This window comes from Homo sapiens, chromosome 16, assembly GCF_000001405.40.
Source record: "Homo sapiens chromosome 16, GRCh38.p14 Primary Assembly".
Taxonomy (NCBI): Eukaryota; Metazoa; Chordata; class Mammalia; order Primates; family Hominidae; genus Homo; species Homo sapiens.
In genome coordinates this window covers 47077267-47093468 of record NC_000016.10, presented here as the reverse complement: position 1 = coordinate 47093468, position 16202 = coordinate 47077267, and the positions used below count along the sequence as shown (strand labels likewise).

The 16202-nt window shown below is 39.1% G+C and overlaps 1 protein-coding gene across 7 annotated transcripts in view, besides 1 other annotated feature; it reads left to right on the top strand.

The window, feature by feature from the left end:
• NETO2 (neuropilin and tolloid like 2) overlaps positions 1 to 15766 on the top strand; it is a 66243-nt gene extending 50477 nt beyond the window's left edge. For 3 of the 7 annotated variants that reach the window (NM_001201477.2, NM_018092.5, XM_017023740.2), the window contains exons 8-9: positions 7130 to 7243; positions 9668 to 15766. In NM_001201477.2, the coding sequence (NP_001188406.1) occupies positions 7130 to 7243; positions 9668 to 10248 (695 nt within the window). In that variant the 3' untranslated portion in view covers positions 10249 to 15766. Of the gene's footprint in view, positions 1 to 7129; positions 7244 to 9667 lie in introns of those variants that run through there. The other 4 variants (XM_006721291.2, XM_006721289.2, XM_047434728.1 and 1 more) reach the window with 2 other exon arrangements.
• Positions 13859 to 14623: an enhancer, noted in NCBI's record as "H3K4me1 hESC enhancer chr16:47112757-47113521 (GRCh37/hg19 assembly coordinates)". NCBI's record gives its function as "activates a minimal SCP1, AML or CMV promoter by ChIP-STARR-seq in primed H9 embryonic stem cells {active_cell/tissue: H9 hESC(primed)}" and the evidence as "EXISTENCE:reporter gene assay evidence [ECO:0000049][PMID:30033119]".

Sequence of the window (16202 nt, the reverse complement as noted above, 5' to 3'; positions counted from 1 at the left end):
AGTGTAGGATTGACCGTGACGAAGACCCTTTGAGACATAAAGGGTTCTCCTGTTAAATATCCAAGTTCCTTCAAACAGGCAGCATCAATTACGGAGGAGGTGGTCTTTGAGTGCAGGTCCTTTGGGTGTGTCCTTGAGAGTAGATATATTTTGAAGGTAGAAATGTTCATTGAGGCTGTTATTTTAGACAGAAGCAATAATGAGCAAAGCATTGAAGCAGAGCTAAGGTGGGCCACAAGAAGTGTGGTAGAGGGAGTGGCAGAGAAAGGAGGCAGGAAAGGTAGATTAAAACTGGATGAAGCCCTTTGAAAAAAATCAAAGGGAAAATGTAGACTCATCTTACAGGCATCAGGGAGTTGACACTATAAAGTAACATCTTTAGCGCTGTGCCTTAGCTGGGGCATGGATATGAGTTAAGAGTTTACTTCCATAGTCACAGCGGGAAGCCATGGAGGTCTGAACCTAAGCAGGGGCAGTGAGGACAAAGAAGAGTGGGGAAACGGAATCCACAGGATTCAATGACCCATTCAATGAAGGCTAAAAGAGTGAGTCAGTCACCTACAATTTTGAGTCTGACTGAAAGATGAAAACTGAACAGACAAGATGGGGAAAGTGTCATGTTTTGGACATGGTGAGCTCCTTGGGCAGCTGGAAATGTCGGGAGCTCACGGTGGCATTTGCTGAGAGTGAACTTTGCTGCTGCTGCTTCCTTCACCAGGGAGAGAACCTGAGCATGTTTCTAAAACCTTTTAAATTTGAGAACTTTTCAAACTTAAAAAACTATGCAGAGGCTGTTTCACTGTGTCAAATAACTACAAATCAGTGCTTTATACAAAGACGTAGCTAACAAGAAAGGCTTTTAGCCTTCTTATTTTTCCCTCGGTTTCTGTGCACCTGTGCTGTCCAGTCCAGTGTCCGCCAGCCACCTGCAGCCTCTGAGCACTTATAACATGGCCCGTCTAAACCGACGTGTGCTATCATTATAAAAACGCCTCCCAGATGTCAGAGGCTTGGTATGAAATAAAGAATGTAAAGTATCCCACTAACAGTATTTTATGCTATATGTTAAAATGAGAATGTTTTGGAAATTGTTTCGGGGCTTCCAACAGCATCCCCATGTTAGGTGCCTTGCTGGAAGGACTCTAGAACCCAGCATTTATTTGTACTGCACTCACAGCTGGGATGGAGGACAACAAAAGGGAGCCGCCAGGGAGAGGCTGCCAGGGTCTGGACCGATCCTTGCGCAGGTCCACATATCGCGTCCTTTCCATGAGGGGCATTCTGAGTATGCCTGTTTCTCCAACAACAGCAAATGGGCATGGACTGGACACAGTGGCTCACGCCTGTAATCCCAGCTCTTTGGGAGGCCAAGGTGGGAAGATTGCCTGAGACCAGCCTGGGCAACATAATGGGACAACATCTCTACAAAAAAAAAAAAAAAAACCAAAACAGTTTTAAATGAGTTGGGCATGGTGGTGCAAACCTGTGGTTCCAGCTACTCTGGAGGCTGAGACAGGAGGATCACTTGAGCCCAGGAGGTTGAGGCTGCAGTGAGCTGTGAATCATGCCACTGCATTCCAGCCTGGGCAACAGAGTGAGACTCTGTCTCCAAAAAAAAAATAAAAATGCAGTAGCACATACGCAGTGTTTCTGCCCAGAGAAGCCCATTAGAGACTCAGCACCCAAGGTTCTTATCAGAGTCTGGTCACATAGGCACCCTCTGCTTTGCATATATCAAAATTTCAGACTCTTAGCAGGAAAGCAAGTATTTGGCATAAATGACATCTTTTATGCAAAGTCTAGGTACAATGAAGTACCCTTATCTGTTAGGGAATGGATGGCACCCAAGGGCCAGTCTTGCAATCAGAACCTTTCAAAGGTAGCACCCTCAGGCCTGCTATAATGTTAACTCTTTCTGCACTGATATGTTGGGTTAAATAAACTATATAAGTCAAATTAATTCCACCAATTTCTTTTTTACTTTTTAATGTGGCTACTTGCTCACATTTTTTACTCACATATTTATTTTGGGCAGCACTGGTCTATATCCATGATGAGAAATTCTTCTCTAATGTGTTTTAGTTAAGGTATTTTCTCTATATACACTAATTTTTTTTGTTAATACAAATCTGATAATTAAACAGGTGAAAAGCCTCCCTCGAGTGATATCTTTATATTAACTAATCACCAAATGTAAGAATAAGTTTAAATTGTAAGGCTGCAATAGATTTAACTTCATATCCCAAATTTAGCTTTATTACCCAAGAAAAAGAAGAAAGCCGCCCCTTCAGAAAAAGTGTGTGTGATTAAAATAAGGGATTTAACAGAGTTTTTTAAAAACAAGAGCCAGCTTGAAAAACCTCCATTTGGAAAGCAAATTTCAGAGCTCCAATTAGTAAATTTTTTCATGCTTATCATTAATTCAAATTATTGAACTATTTCTTTTGTTCTCCTCTAAGCTGTGATTTGTAATTGTTACAATTTCACCCATGGAAACAATTAGTATTTCAGAAGAGGTTTATATAAATGGGCTAATTCTGCATGAGAGATTCAGTTCATGCCTACCCATTGTAGATTGCAGATATAACTGAAATAGAATAATTTTGCTAAAATGAATGATACAGAATAGCAATCAGGATATATTTGGCTTCTTCCCAGGCACTGAATACTAATATATACCTCACTCTTTAAGAAAGAAACAGTTTTAGGAAAATAATTTCTAGGACTAGAACTGTGAAAGCAGCAGCAGATATTTTTGTTAGAATAAACCCGTAATGTGATTTTCGGTGACATACTGCCTGCAGGCCCCCTGCAGGCTTTGCTGAAGGACAGCCATCCTTCAGCATCATTGCCACATCTCATTGAAATTGGGGGGGACACAAAATTCCAGCCCTCCCCTTCCTTTCCACACCATGACCCAGCAGTGAGGAACAGCAATAGGTAGAGAGTTCTCAGGCTATAAGTGGAGTTCATAACTGGCACTATTTTTGCTGTCTTTTTTTATATAAAGACTTATAGTTCAATCATTTTATTATTTGAATTGAAGCATACCATTAAAATCCCATATCAATAACTGATGCTTGATTGTCATTTCCACCAGCCATGCTTAACCAGTGAAAAGCCATAAAGGTTAATGTAGGTGTAATTATTAATATAACTCACATTTCTATGAAACAAAAGCTGACAATATCAGTGCTGTTTTCTAATCACTTTAAATAATATGGAGAGCAGTTGTAAAGAATTTATAATAAAAACTGAAGACATTTTCCTCTCACTGCTCAATCAGTGATGAACACGGAGTGGTAAACCTGTCTTTAAGGCCACCTTTGAAGTTATAAAGAGCCATCAAAGGGGGGGGTCACATGATGTTCTGTAGATAAACCTTAAAAACCAATGGTAGTTTTATTCATGAAATCCGAATGTCAAGGACCCACAGTGCTGTTTATTACCTCATTCAGCCTGTCTTGAAAATGGCTTATCTTTCCTGCATCCCGTTTTTGTGAACTAGATAAAATAGGTAGTAGAATTAGAACATAATATACAATTATATTGTATGTAATAGAATTACAGTGTGATATATAAATAAAAAAAGAAACTCCAGTTTGTAGAAATGAGGAAATCAAAAATGCTATATGTTTCTCTTGGCCGTTTTTTAGTATTTTTCGGTGCCCCCATTTGTATGATACAGTTTTATGATATCTATGACAAACCCAAGTAGGTGCACTAGCTAATTTTGTAGCTAATTTTGTAAAGTGAATAAAACACCACCATACACTCCCCAGCCCTCAATATGATGGCATGTTTGTGTAACTGATACCTGTTGTCTTTCCGATGAGCCTTGGAACCATCAATGTTATCTAAGAACCATGAAGTAATTATTTCAGTGGTTTTAGTGATACCATTTTGACAGGTTAGCAGTCTCTGGATAAATTACTTATTAGATATATACATCATTTGAACTTAAGTCTAAAACAGAAGTATCATGATTGAGACCACTGATTGCATAGTCTCATCAAATTTTGGAACCAGAAGTCTGAGATACACTGTATTCCATCCCCTTCATTTTAAAAGAGGAAGCCGAGGCCCAAGGAGGTTAAATACCTTAAAATGTGGATTAACTGATAATAGAAACCATTTTTATTGATTACTAGCCCATTGTTTTTTTCTGCTTTCTGCTGCATGGTGCTATTTCCCAAGTTCCTTCACAGTTCGTAGCTATTGTGGACTCTTCAGTCATGTCAGCCACCAAGGGGTTCTCATACTTGAACTGCAGCCGCTGAGTACTCCGCAGGTGAACAAGCTTAACAGTTTAGTGTGAAGACTGTTGAACTGTATATAGAGAAAGAAGTCTAAACTCAACTGCAGGTTGGCTTACAGTGAGGAGGGGGAAGGGATAAATGAACCCTAGTTCATAATGACTATAGATTTTTAACCTGTTGTACTGAAACTTGGGTGAATACTACCGTTTAGGGCATTCTGCTTAAAGAGAGATTATGGTCACACTCTTAATAGCAAAGCAATTTTGGATATTCACCGTGGACCTACATTTGTCAGATTATGTTTTGGAGTTATCTAGGTACCTAATAAATGCCTGTTTTTACAGCCCATGTTCACAGCCCATTGAGAAATAGACAAAGTGGGTAAGGCAGATGAATGAAAACATGTCAGTTTTATTACTGATAATGTACTGCAATTGGAGAATGTGGTCAGATATTCCAAACTTCCTATGACTGCACACTGAAGAGTCTTCTCTTTGGAGGGGAGAAAAATAATGCTCGTGGCTGTTTTTAAAATTATGTTTATTATATATTTATTAAAAGAAAGATAATATTTAGAAAAAAATCTCATTAGTCAAGTAAAATTTTAGATACTCTATCTTGAAAAACCTTCTGAAAACAGTATAAAAAATATTTGAGATATGTCAGTATAACATAGAGCAATATTCGATTCTCCCTCCTTGGTGCAGCAAATATTTTCTGAAAATCAAAAGTACAGAATCTTTTAGGCAGGAAATACATTTTGTCCAATTATAATTTTAGAAGTCAAAATTGTTAAGGTTTTTGGACCAGGCACAGTGGCTCACGCCTGTAATCCCAACACTTTGGGAGGCTGAGGCAGGCAGATCACTTAAGGTCAGGAGTTCAAGACCAGCCTGGCCAACATGGTTAAACCCCACCTCCACTAAAAATACACAAATTAGCTGGGCATGGTGACACGTGCCTGTAGTCCCAGCTACTCGGGGAGGCTGAGGCAGGAGAATTGCTTGAACCTGGGAGGCAAAGGTTGCAGTGAGCTGCGATCATGCCACTGCACTCCAGCCTGGGCAACAGAGCGAGACTCCATCTCCAAAAAAAAAGAAAAAAAAATTGCTAAGGTTTTTGGGCTTCTGTCGTACTGAATGGGAAAATAATAAGCTGCCTCACTTCTTGACTTTCATATGTTTTGTTTGTTTCTTTACACTGAAATACTTAATACTACTCTATTGGACTTCTGCCTCCAAGCCAGGAGTTTATTTCCTAACAGAAGTAAGCACACTGACTAATAATAATCCATTCTAACAAAGGTTTACATACACAAGGATAGGTGCCAAATAGAGGAGTATGTGGAGTGTGATAGGAACACACAGGAGCGACTGGCTACCCCAGAGAAGCAAGGGGATTTTCACAGATGGTAACATTTGAGATGATACTGAAAGATGAGTAGGTGGCCGCCACAAAGAGAAAGAAGGAGCCATTCCAGGCTGAAAGAACAATTTATACAAGTAGGAAATTACATGGTATATATTCCATATACCTTTAGTGTCCTTAAAACAATTTTTTTGAATCCAGAAGAGTGGATTTTTTTTATTATGGGTAAAATATACATAACAAAATTTATTATTTTAGCCATTTTAAGTATACAGTTCAGTAGCATTAAGTACATTCACATTATTGTGCAACCATTACCACTATCCATATTCAGAAAGTTTTTGTCTTCCCAAACTGAAACTCTGTACCCATTAAACATCACCTCCCCATTCCTTCCTCTTTTTGGACCCTGGTAATCTCTATTCTACTTTCTGTTTCTATGAGTTTGCCTCTTCTAGGCACCTCAATAAGTGGAATCATACAATATTTCTCATACAATAATTAATATGTAATTATAGGGCTGGGCACGGTGGCTCACACCTGTAATCCCAGCGCTTTGGGAGGCCAAAGCAGGTGGATCACGAGGTCAGGAGTTCAAGACCAGCCTGGCCAACATAGTGAAAACCCGTCTCTGCTAAAAATACAAAAATTAGCCAGGCATGGCTCGTGCCTGTAGTCCCAGCTACTCTGGAGGCTGACACAGGAGAATCACTTGAACCCAGGAGGTGGAGGTTGCAGTGAGCCAAGATCATGCCACTGCACTCCAGCCTGGCAACAGAGTGAGACTCCATCTCAAAAAAAAAAAAAAATTTAATTATAAATAATTATGCTAAGTGAAATATGTGGCTTTGTCCATGTTGTATGTATCATAATTTCATTTCTTTTTATGACCAAATCACATTCCATTGTCTTGTGGATGCTACATTGTTTATCCATCCACCCATCAATGGGCATTTTGTTTGTTCCCACTTTCTGGCTGTTGTGCATAATGCTGCTGTGAACATTGGTATGCAAGTAACTGAGTTTCTGGTTTCAGTTCTTTGGAGTAGGTAGCTAAAAGTAAAATTGCTGGATCATACGGTAATTCTATCTTTAACTTTTTGAGGAGCCTCCAGATAATTTTCCACAATGACTGCACCATCTTACATTCTCACCCTCAGTACAGAAGGGTTCCAGTGTCTCCACATCCTTGCCAACATTGTCTTTCAAAGTTTTGGAAAAAAAAATCTACCAGACTGTATACTGGTTCCATAAGAACCATTGAAAATACATTCATTATCATTACATTAAAAGTGACCTTTTGGGGCCTAGCATAAGAAAAAGTTTGAATGAGCCAGCATCAGAGAATATTGACGTTTGTCTTATTGTTTGAATAGTACAGAGTTTATTCAAGGAAAGGCCTTTGCGGTAAGAAAGTACTCTTATAAAGTCAGATTTGTTATGTATGAAATAAAATCAGGTGGTCTGCCTGCTCTTTGCAACACTGTTTTCTCTTCCTGCAGCTCCCTGCACAAGCAGCACTTTCTTTTGCCATAGCAACATGTGCATCAATAATTCTTTAGTCTGTAATGGTGTCCAAAATTGTGCATACCCTTGGGATGAAAATCATTGTAAAGGTGAGTTTGATGTAAAGGCCAACATTTTTGAGAAAAGAGTGGCTATTGCCCTTCATTAAGAACTTAAAATGTTATTTTCTACAACAGTGCTTAGCATAGCTGCTTTTTGTTTGTTTGTTTGAGACGGAGTCCTGCTCTGTCGCCCAGGCTGGAGTGCAGTGGCACAATCTCGGCTCACTGCAAGCTCCGCCTCCCGGGTTCACACCATTCTCCTGCCTTAGCTTCCCAAGTAGCTGGGACTACAGGTGCCTGCCACCACGCCCGGCTAATTTTTTGGTATTTTTAGTAGAGACAGGGTTTCACTGTGTTAGCCAGGATGGTCTCGATCTCCTGACCTCATGATCTGCCCACCTCGGCCTCCCAAAGTGCTGGGATTACAGGCATGAGCCACCGCGCCCAGCCTAGCATAGCTGCTTTGACAAAAATGGAAACATGTAAATGTTCTTTTAAATGGATCATAGACCTGGGATGTGGTGAAAAGCATACTCTAAACAAAAGCATTTTTTGTCTACAAACTGTTAAGTTGTTCTAAAGTGTATTGTGGCCAGGCGCGGTGGCTTACGCCTGTAATCCCAGCACTTTGGGAGGCTGAGGCAGGCGGATCACCTGAGGTCAGGAGTTCAAGACCAACCTGGCTAACATGGTGAAACCCCATTTCTACTAAAAACACAAAAAAATCAGCTAGGCGTGGTGGCACGCGCCTGTAATCCCAGCTACTCGGGAGGCTGAGGCAGGAGAATTGCTTGAACTCGGCAGGCAGAGGTTGCAGTGAGCCGAGATTGCGCCATTGCACTCCAGCTTGGGCAACAAAAGTGAAAACTCCGTCTCATCCAAAAAAAAAAAAAGTATATCGTGGTATGCCTTGCCCTTATTTTGTTACTGTTGTTGAAGTTTGTCATTTGTATTGTAAACATACCTTATTTAATTGTCAAAATAATTTAGAGGTTAGCCTGAAGTATGTGGAAACACTATTTAATAAAAGTCAACTTGCAGATTCTGTCTTAAAACATAAAAGCAGAAACATTCTATGAACTGCTTTTTTTATTTCGTAACATTTCCTATGCTGTATTCCCAGTGTGTACTCACTGAAAGATAAATGCAGCTTGTGGTAATGGTTGAATGTCTGCAAGCTGGTTGTCAGATCACTGTGTAAGAACTAAAGGTAATCTTCCTTTTATCCTCTAAGACAGCAGTCCCCAACCTTTTTGGTACCAAGGACTGGTTTCGTGGAAGACAATTTTTTCACAGAACAGGGGTGGGGCAGGGGGGTTGGTTTCAGGATGATTTAAGCGCGTTACATTTATTGGGCACTTTATTATTATTACATTGTAATATATAATAAAATAATCATACAACTCACCATAATGCAGAATCAGTGGGAGCCCTGAGCTTGTTTTCCTTCAACTAGACAGTCCCATCTGGGGGTGATGAGAGACAGTGACAGATCATCAGGCATTAGATTCTCCTAAGGAGCTCACAGCCTATATCCCTCACATGCACTTGGGCTTCTGTCATACTGAATGGGAAAATAATAAGCTGCCTCACTTCTTGACTTTCATATGTTTTGTTTGTTTCTTTACACTGAAATACTTAATACTACTCTATTGGACTTCTGCCTCCAAGCCAGGAGTTTATTTCCTAACAGAAGTAAGCACACTAATAATAATCCATTATTGTTATCCATAATAGGGCTCCTGCTGCTGTGAGAATCTAATGCCACTGCTGATCTGACAGGAGGCAGTGCTGCGGGTAATGCGAGTGATGGGGAGCAGCAGCAGATACAGATGCAGCTTCACTCGCTCACTCGCAGCTCACCTCCTGCAGTGATACCCAGTTCCTGTCTGTGGCCCAGGGGTTGAGGACCCCTGCTGTAAGAGTTCAATAAATATCTTACTGTGGAAAGGTGATCTAATCTGATATGGCTGTCGTAAATACTCGACATGAAGTGTTTTCAGTTAATCATTCAAAAACAGTAGGTCATGATAATATACTGGATGGGTTAGTCTGATGATGTTAGTTTGCTCTCCCTGGGGTCATCAGTAGATGCGGGTATACCTGAACACAGCAGTTGGTCAAACCTACCATAAAGCAGAAAGCTAAACTTGATAGAACAAGAGTATTTATTTGGCATAGTCTATATTTGTATATTTGATTTGATTTGCAGAATGTATGCATTTATGTGTCTTCTGAAGAAACGGACCAAGAACTTTATCTTCTGTAATCTATCAGTACTGCGATTGGTAACTTTAACCAGAAATTATAATAGGGTTGTTTTATTTGTTTAAAAACCTAATTGTAAATTGCATTGTCTGTAGTATATTTGGCCCAAGTATTCTGTTTTACCTAAAAATACCTTACTAATTTGTACCAGGATTCATATTAATGTATTTTGAAAACTTAACGTTTCTCATTTTCTTTCTGCAGAAAAGAAAAAAGCAGGAGTATTTGAACAAATCACTAAGACTCATGGAACAATTATTGGCATTACTTCAGGGATTGTCTTGGTCCTTCTCATTATTTCTATTTTAGTACAAGTGAAACAGCCTCGAAAAAAGGTCATGGCTTGCAAAACCGCTTTTAATAAAACCGGGTTCCAAGAAGTGTTTGATCCTCCTCATTATGAACTGTTTTCACTAAGGGACAAAGAGATTTCTGCAGACCTGGCAGACTTGTCGGAAGAATTGGACAACTACCAGAAGATGCGGCGCTCCTCCACCGCCTCCCGCTGCATCCACGACCACCACTGTGGGTCGCAGGCCTCCAGCGTCAAACAAAGCAGGACCAACCTCAGTTCCATGGAACTTCCTTTCCGAAATGACTTTGCACAACCACAGCCAATGAAAACATTTAATAGCACCTTCAAGAAAAGTAGTTACACTTTCAAACAGGGACATGAGTGCCCTGAGCAGGCCCTGGAAGACCGAGTAATGGAGGAGATTCCCTGTGAAATTTATGTCAGGGGGCGAGAAGATTCTGCACAAGCATCCATATCCATTGACTTCTAATCTTCTGCTAATGGTGATGTGAATTCTTAGGGTGTGTACGTACGCAGCCTCCAGGGCACCATACTGTTTCCAGCAGCCAACCCTTTTCTCCCATCACAACTACGAAGACCTTGATTTACCGTTAACCTATTGTATGGTGATGTTTTTATTCTCTCAGGCAGTCTATATATGTTAAACCAATCAAGGAACTTACTCTATTCAGTGGAAACAATAATCATCTCTATTGCTTGGTGTCATTTATAGGAAGCACTGCCAGTTAAAGAGCATTAGAAGAGGTGGTTGGATGGAGCCAGGCTCAGGCTGCCTCTTCGTTTTAGCAACAAGAAGACTGCTCTTGACTGATAACAGCTCTGTCAATATTTTGATGCCACAATAAACTTGATTTTTCTTTACATTCCTTTTATTTTTCCTTTCTCTAAATTTAATTTGTTTTATAAGCCTATCGTTTTACCATTTCATTTTCTTACATAAGTACAAGTGGTTAATGTACCACATACTTCAGTATAGGCATTTGTTCTTGAGTGTGTCAAAATACAGCTAGTTACTGTGCCAATTAAGACCCAGTTGTATTTCACCCATCTGTTTCTTCTTGGCTAATCTCTGTACTTCTGCCTTTTAATTACTGGGCCCTTATTCCTTATTTTCTGTGAGAAATAATAGATGATATGATTTATTACCTTTCAATTATATTTTTCTCAGTTATACTAGAAAATTTCATAATCCTGGGATATATGTACCATTGTCAGCTATGACTAAAAATTTGAAAAAGATAAAAATTTCTAGCAAGCCTTTGAAGTTTACCAAGTATAGTCACATTCAGTGACAGCCCATTCATTCCAGTAAAGAATCATTTCATTCACTTTGGGAGAGGCCTATAATTACATTTATTTGCAATGTTTCTCTTCGCTAGATTGTTACATAGCTCCCATTCTGTTGGTTTTGCTTACAGCATATGGTAACCAAGGTTAGATGCCAGTTAAAATTCCTTAGAAATTGGATGAGCCTTGAGATTGCTTCTTAACTGGGACATGACATTTTTCTAGCTCTTATCAAGAATAACAACTTCCACTTTTTTTTAAACTGCACTTTTGACTTTTTTTATGGTATAAAAACAATAATTTATAAACATAAAAGCTCATTGTGTTTTTTAGACTTTTGATATTATTTGATACTGTACAAACTTTATTAAATCAAGATGAAAGACCTACAGGACAGATTCCTTTCAGTGTTCACATCAGTGGCTTTGTATGCAAATATGCTGTGTTGGACCTGGACGCTATAACTTATTGTAAAGACCTTGGAAATGTGGACATAAGCTCTTTCTTTCCTTTTGTTACTGTATTTAGTTTGTGATAAATTTTTCACTGTGTGATATTTATGCTCTAAATCACTACACAAATCCCATATTAAAATATACATTGTACCTGACCCTTTAATCATGTTATTTATGCCACCAAGGTTGTGGATCTTAAGGTATGTATGGAAAGGAACTCATTTATCAAATTGTAAGTAATACAGACATGCCATTTAAAAGAGGTAAATTCTTGTTTTCTATATTTTGTTAGTAAATTCTCAATGAAATAAGTTGAAGTTTCACTGGATTTCATTAACTTTTAAATATTACATATATGTGTTTTCTCAGATTAGTGAAAATTGTGACCTTAAATTTAATACACATATACTGCCTCAGAGTGCTTTCTTGTATCAAAATTTTTGTTTTTTAAAAAAGTAGATAATATTTAGGAGACAGAAAAACCTATACATAATGTATTCATGATTTAAATTTTTTTAAGTCAGCCTAGTTTCTTGTTTTAAAAATATAACGTGGAAACATGAAAAGACTTGATGCATATAATATTCAATGAACTAATACCAGAGACAGCTAAGTTTTTTCAGTAGTTATGCTGAATAAGCATTTTAGTAGGTAACTTACACCAGCTAACATTTGAACAGCATAATAAATACTTAATATAACAACAACTATGATCTTATGATGATAAAAGGGAAGTTAGCATATTTTCTATGTAAAATTATTCATTTTTTAAAATAGCTGTTAAACCTATATTTAATCTTTAGATTATAATAGCAAATAATACAGTATGCTAAACTATAGTCACTTGTAACTACATTTTTGTTTTTGAAATTTGATTTCTATTTATAAGGTCTTGAAGAGGCCTACAAAATACAGAGCCTTTAAAGAAGACATAACAGTAAAATAGAAGTACACAGTTTTATACGAGTCAATGTAGCAAGTAACATTTAGACAGTAAGTTTGGTTCTGAATTTTCTGGCTGCTAAAACACTTTTTGCTTTTCACAGTAAAAAAACTTATGTGCAGAGGCTAATTTCCTCTTGAACTACAGCATGAGGGTCTGTATATAGGAACATTTCTTCAGAATGTAAAAAAGATGCAAAATGGAGACAGAGGTTATAATGGTGCTTCTTAACCCAGTGAAGGCACAACTTAATGTCGTCTAGGAACATTGGTTTAGGGTCAGTCTGTATTTTCAGGGATAGAACTAAAGAACCAGATGATCAATAGCTAAGCCAGCCTTAGCCTGTCACATGTTATACACCTTCATTGAATCATAGATGGGCATTAGATCTCATTTATTTATTAAACTTCTCTATGCTTTTGGAAGAGGTAAGAATGGAACTAATAAATCTTAGGCATTATTGCCAGAATAATGCTAATTGCTGTATATACAGCCTTTAATCTTTGAGATCAGTGAGAAAACTTTATAAATTGCTTACTAAAATGAAAGCCATAAAATTTAATAACAGAAGACATGAAATTTAGCAATCTTGTGGAATTCATTACACAGTATTAACTGTCACGCAGGGTACCCCACACAGTGTCCCAGTGTTGAACACAAAATGCAAATCTGGAAGGGATAAATATCTTCAATTCAGAAACAGCATTAAGTATACCTGTATAATACTGTCACCATTATCTTCCATCTGCAATTCACCGCATCATCCCCCAAATGCCCACAGATCTATTGCAGGAAACCTACTAATCCCAACATCTAAAGCATGTAGGAATAAGATGTGATATTCCTTTTGTGTGTGGGGAGAGTGTCAATCTAAACGTTTAACAAAAGGCAAAGAATGTTCACATTTCACATCACAAAAGAGATTTCAAAGACTCCTTTAACCCGACAGCGCTTATGTCAGTGTCTTTGTCATGTTTCATAGAATTGTTAGACTTTAAAAGAACCTCCTGAAAGTCTGCCTCTGAACATTTGTATGGTTCTGCCAATGTCTGATGAGAAGAATGCTTCCCTGTTTGAGGAGTGTGTTCACTGATGAGAGGGGACGGGAGAAGCCTGGTTGTGATTTCAGGAATAATTCTCAAAGGAGATTATACTCTTATTGCAAAATGGGGTCTGCTATATATTGTTCATGTCACTTTATTGCAAGTGACATGAATTATATGACATTAAAAATAATATGCCTTGAATCACACTGATTAGACCCAGAAGGATCATTGAGTTTTTGGTGGTTTTAAAGATCCAAGAAAGACCTATCTAGCCCAAGTGTATGAATGAGAAGACTGAAGCCCACAGAAGTGAACTCAGCACCAGTGTCTCAAGAACCCCAGTACTCTGGTTTTTTTCTTTTTTGAGACGGAGTCTCGCTCTGTCGCCCAGGCTGGAGTGCAGTGGCGCGATCTCGGCTCACTGCAAGCTCCGCCTCCCGGGTTCACGCTATTCTCCTGCCTCAGTCTCCCAAGTAGCTGGGACTACAGGCGCCCGACACCATGCCCGGCTAATTTCTTGTATTTTTAGTAGAGACGGGGTTTCACCGTGTTAGCCAGGATAGTCTCAATCTCCTGACCTCGTGATCCACCCGCCTCGGCCTCCCAAAGTGCTGGGATTACAGGCGTGAGCCACCGCGCCTGGCCTTCTGTTTTTGTTTTTCTGTTTTTTTGTTTTTTGAGACAGAGTCTCGCTCTGTCACCCAGGCTAGAGTGCAGTGGCGTGATCTCGGCTCACTGCAAGCTCCGCCTCCCGGGTTCATGCCATTCTCCTGTCTCAGCCTCTCGAGTAGCTGGGACTACAGGCGCCCGCCACCATGCCCGGCTAATTTTTTGTATTTTTAGTAGAGACGGGGTTTCACCATGTTAGCCAGGATGGTCTCGATCTCCTGACCTCGTGATCCGCCCGCCTCGGCCTCCCAAAGTGCTGGGATTACAGGAGTGAGCCAAGGCGCCCAGCCCAGCTGTACGTTTTAAAAGTCAAGCACTTCTGTTTAGCAGCCCATGTAAGCTTGTCAATCATTCTGAATTGAAATGTAATTTATTCTGTAATTTCTTCAATGCATTATATTTCCCCTTTTCTTTAAATGTATGTAACATTGTGTTCTACAGTTTTGCTGCCATGATTCCTTGGCACCGTGAATTCTTACTAAGCAATGTTTGTTAACAGTATACAGGCTCGATACTAGGCAGGAAGAGCTCCTGTGTTCTTGCTTTTTTGATCTTTTTTAAATCTAAAGGAGACGTGTATTCTAGAAATTAAATATTTGTGTGCCATATCTCTTGAGTTTTGGAGAATGATTGGAGTTTGAGTTACTGTAAATAACAAGATTATCTTGGATATTTTAGTTTTCTGCAAAATCACTTATGTTTTATATACCTCTGCTAATAATTCAAAACTCTGAATTTGCTTTACTTTAACTTTTTAAAAATGTATTTTTGCAATTGGTTTAATGACTACCAAAGCCTAAAAAGCTAATGACTAGGGTGCATGTTTAGTATGCACTGTCTAGTGTAAGCTTTTTAAAAGCAGTAGATTTTTATTAGAGATGAACTTCCAGGCCATATGAGAATATGCTTAATCCTAGATTTGGCATTTTATAGAAAAGAATTTTGACTCTTGAACTAGAATTAAAAACTTGTTCTGATTTCCTTGCTTGCCTCAATTTCTAAAGTCTAGAAGTGGCAAATAATTTAGATCACTTATACCAACAGAATCTGTATTTCCTTCCGGGGCAAAGTTGGCATTTCCTATCCACTAGCTTCCAAAATACAATAATCCTAGTTATGATAAGGGCAACTTTATTTTATTACACTTAGAACCATTTTATGTTTTCAAATTCATTAATCTTCAAGTGAAGATGAACTAAAGAAAAAAATGCGTTTTGTCCCAGGTTGCCTGCAGGTTGCAGTCTGCTGCATCCGGTCACTGAAGAGGCAGTGAGGACTGTCACAGAGTGGGCTGGAGAGCCAAGCTGTTCTTTCGGGGTGCACAGTGCACCAGCCATAACACAGCTTAGAAACATGGATGAGTATACCTCAAGACAGGTGAACACGGAGTGGGGAGCAAAAGAAGGCAGAAACTCCTCTGAGTTTCACAAGCATCAGGCACAGATCAGGGCACAGAGGAAGAAGAAAGAAGGTTTACCACTGGTCTGTCTCTGTAAATTGTTACAGAGCAATTTTACTTTGTGTTATTTAGGATCAAGAAACAAGTGTTATTTAAAAGTTCTCTTACCCTCCAACCTTTGTCATACTCCACAATATCTGATGCCATTTAGGCCTCTGAGCCAGTACACATTTTATTGAAACTTTTTTTCTTTTGAGGCAGTCTTGCTTTGTAACCCAGGTTGGAGTGCAGTGGCACAATCTCAGCTCACTGCAGCCTCGACCTCTTGGGCTCAGGAGATCTTCCCGCTTTAGCCTGCCTAGTAGCTGAGACTACAGGCACGCACCACCACACCTGGCTAATTTTTTAAAATTATTTTTGTAGAGACAGGGTTTGGCCATGTTGCCAGGCTGGTCTGGAACTCCTGAGCTCAAGCAGTCTGCCCGCCTAGGCCTCCCAAAATGTTGGGATTACAGGAGTGAGCCACTGCTCCTGGCCCAGCTGAATTTTTTTTTTTTTTTTTTTAAGAAATGAAGTCTCACTGTGTTACCCAGGCTGGTGTCGAACTCCTGGGCTCAAGCAATC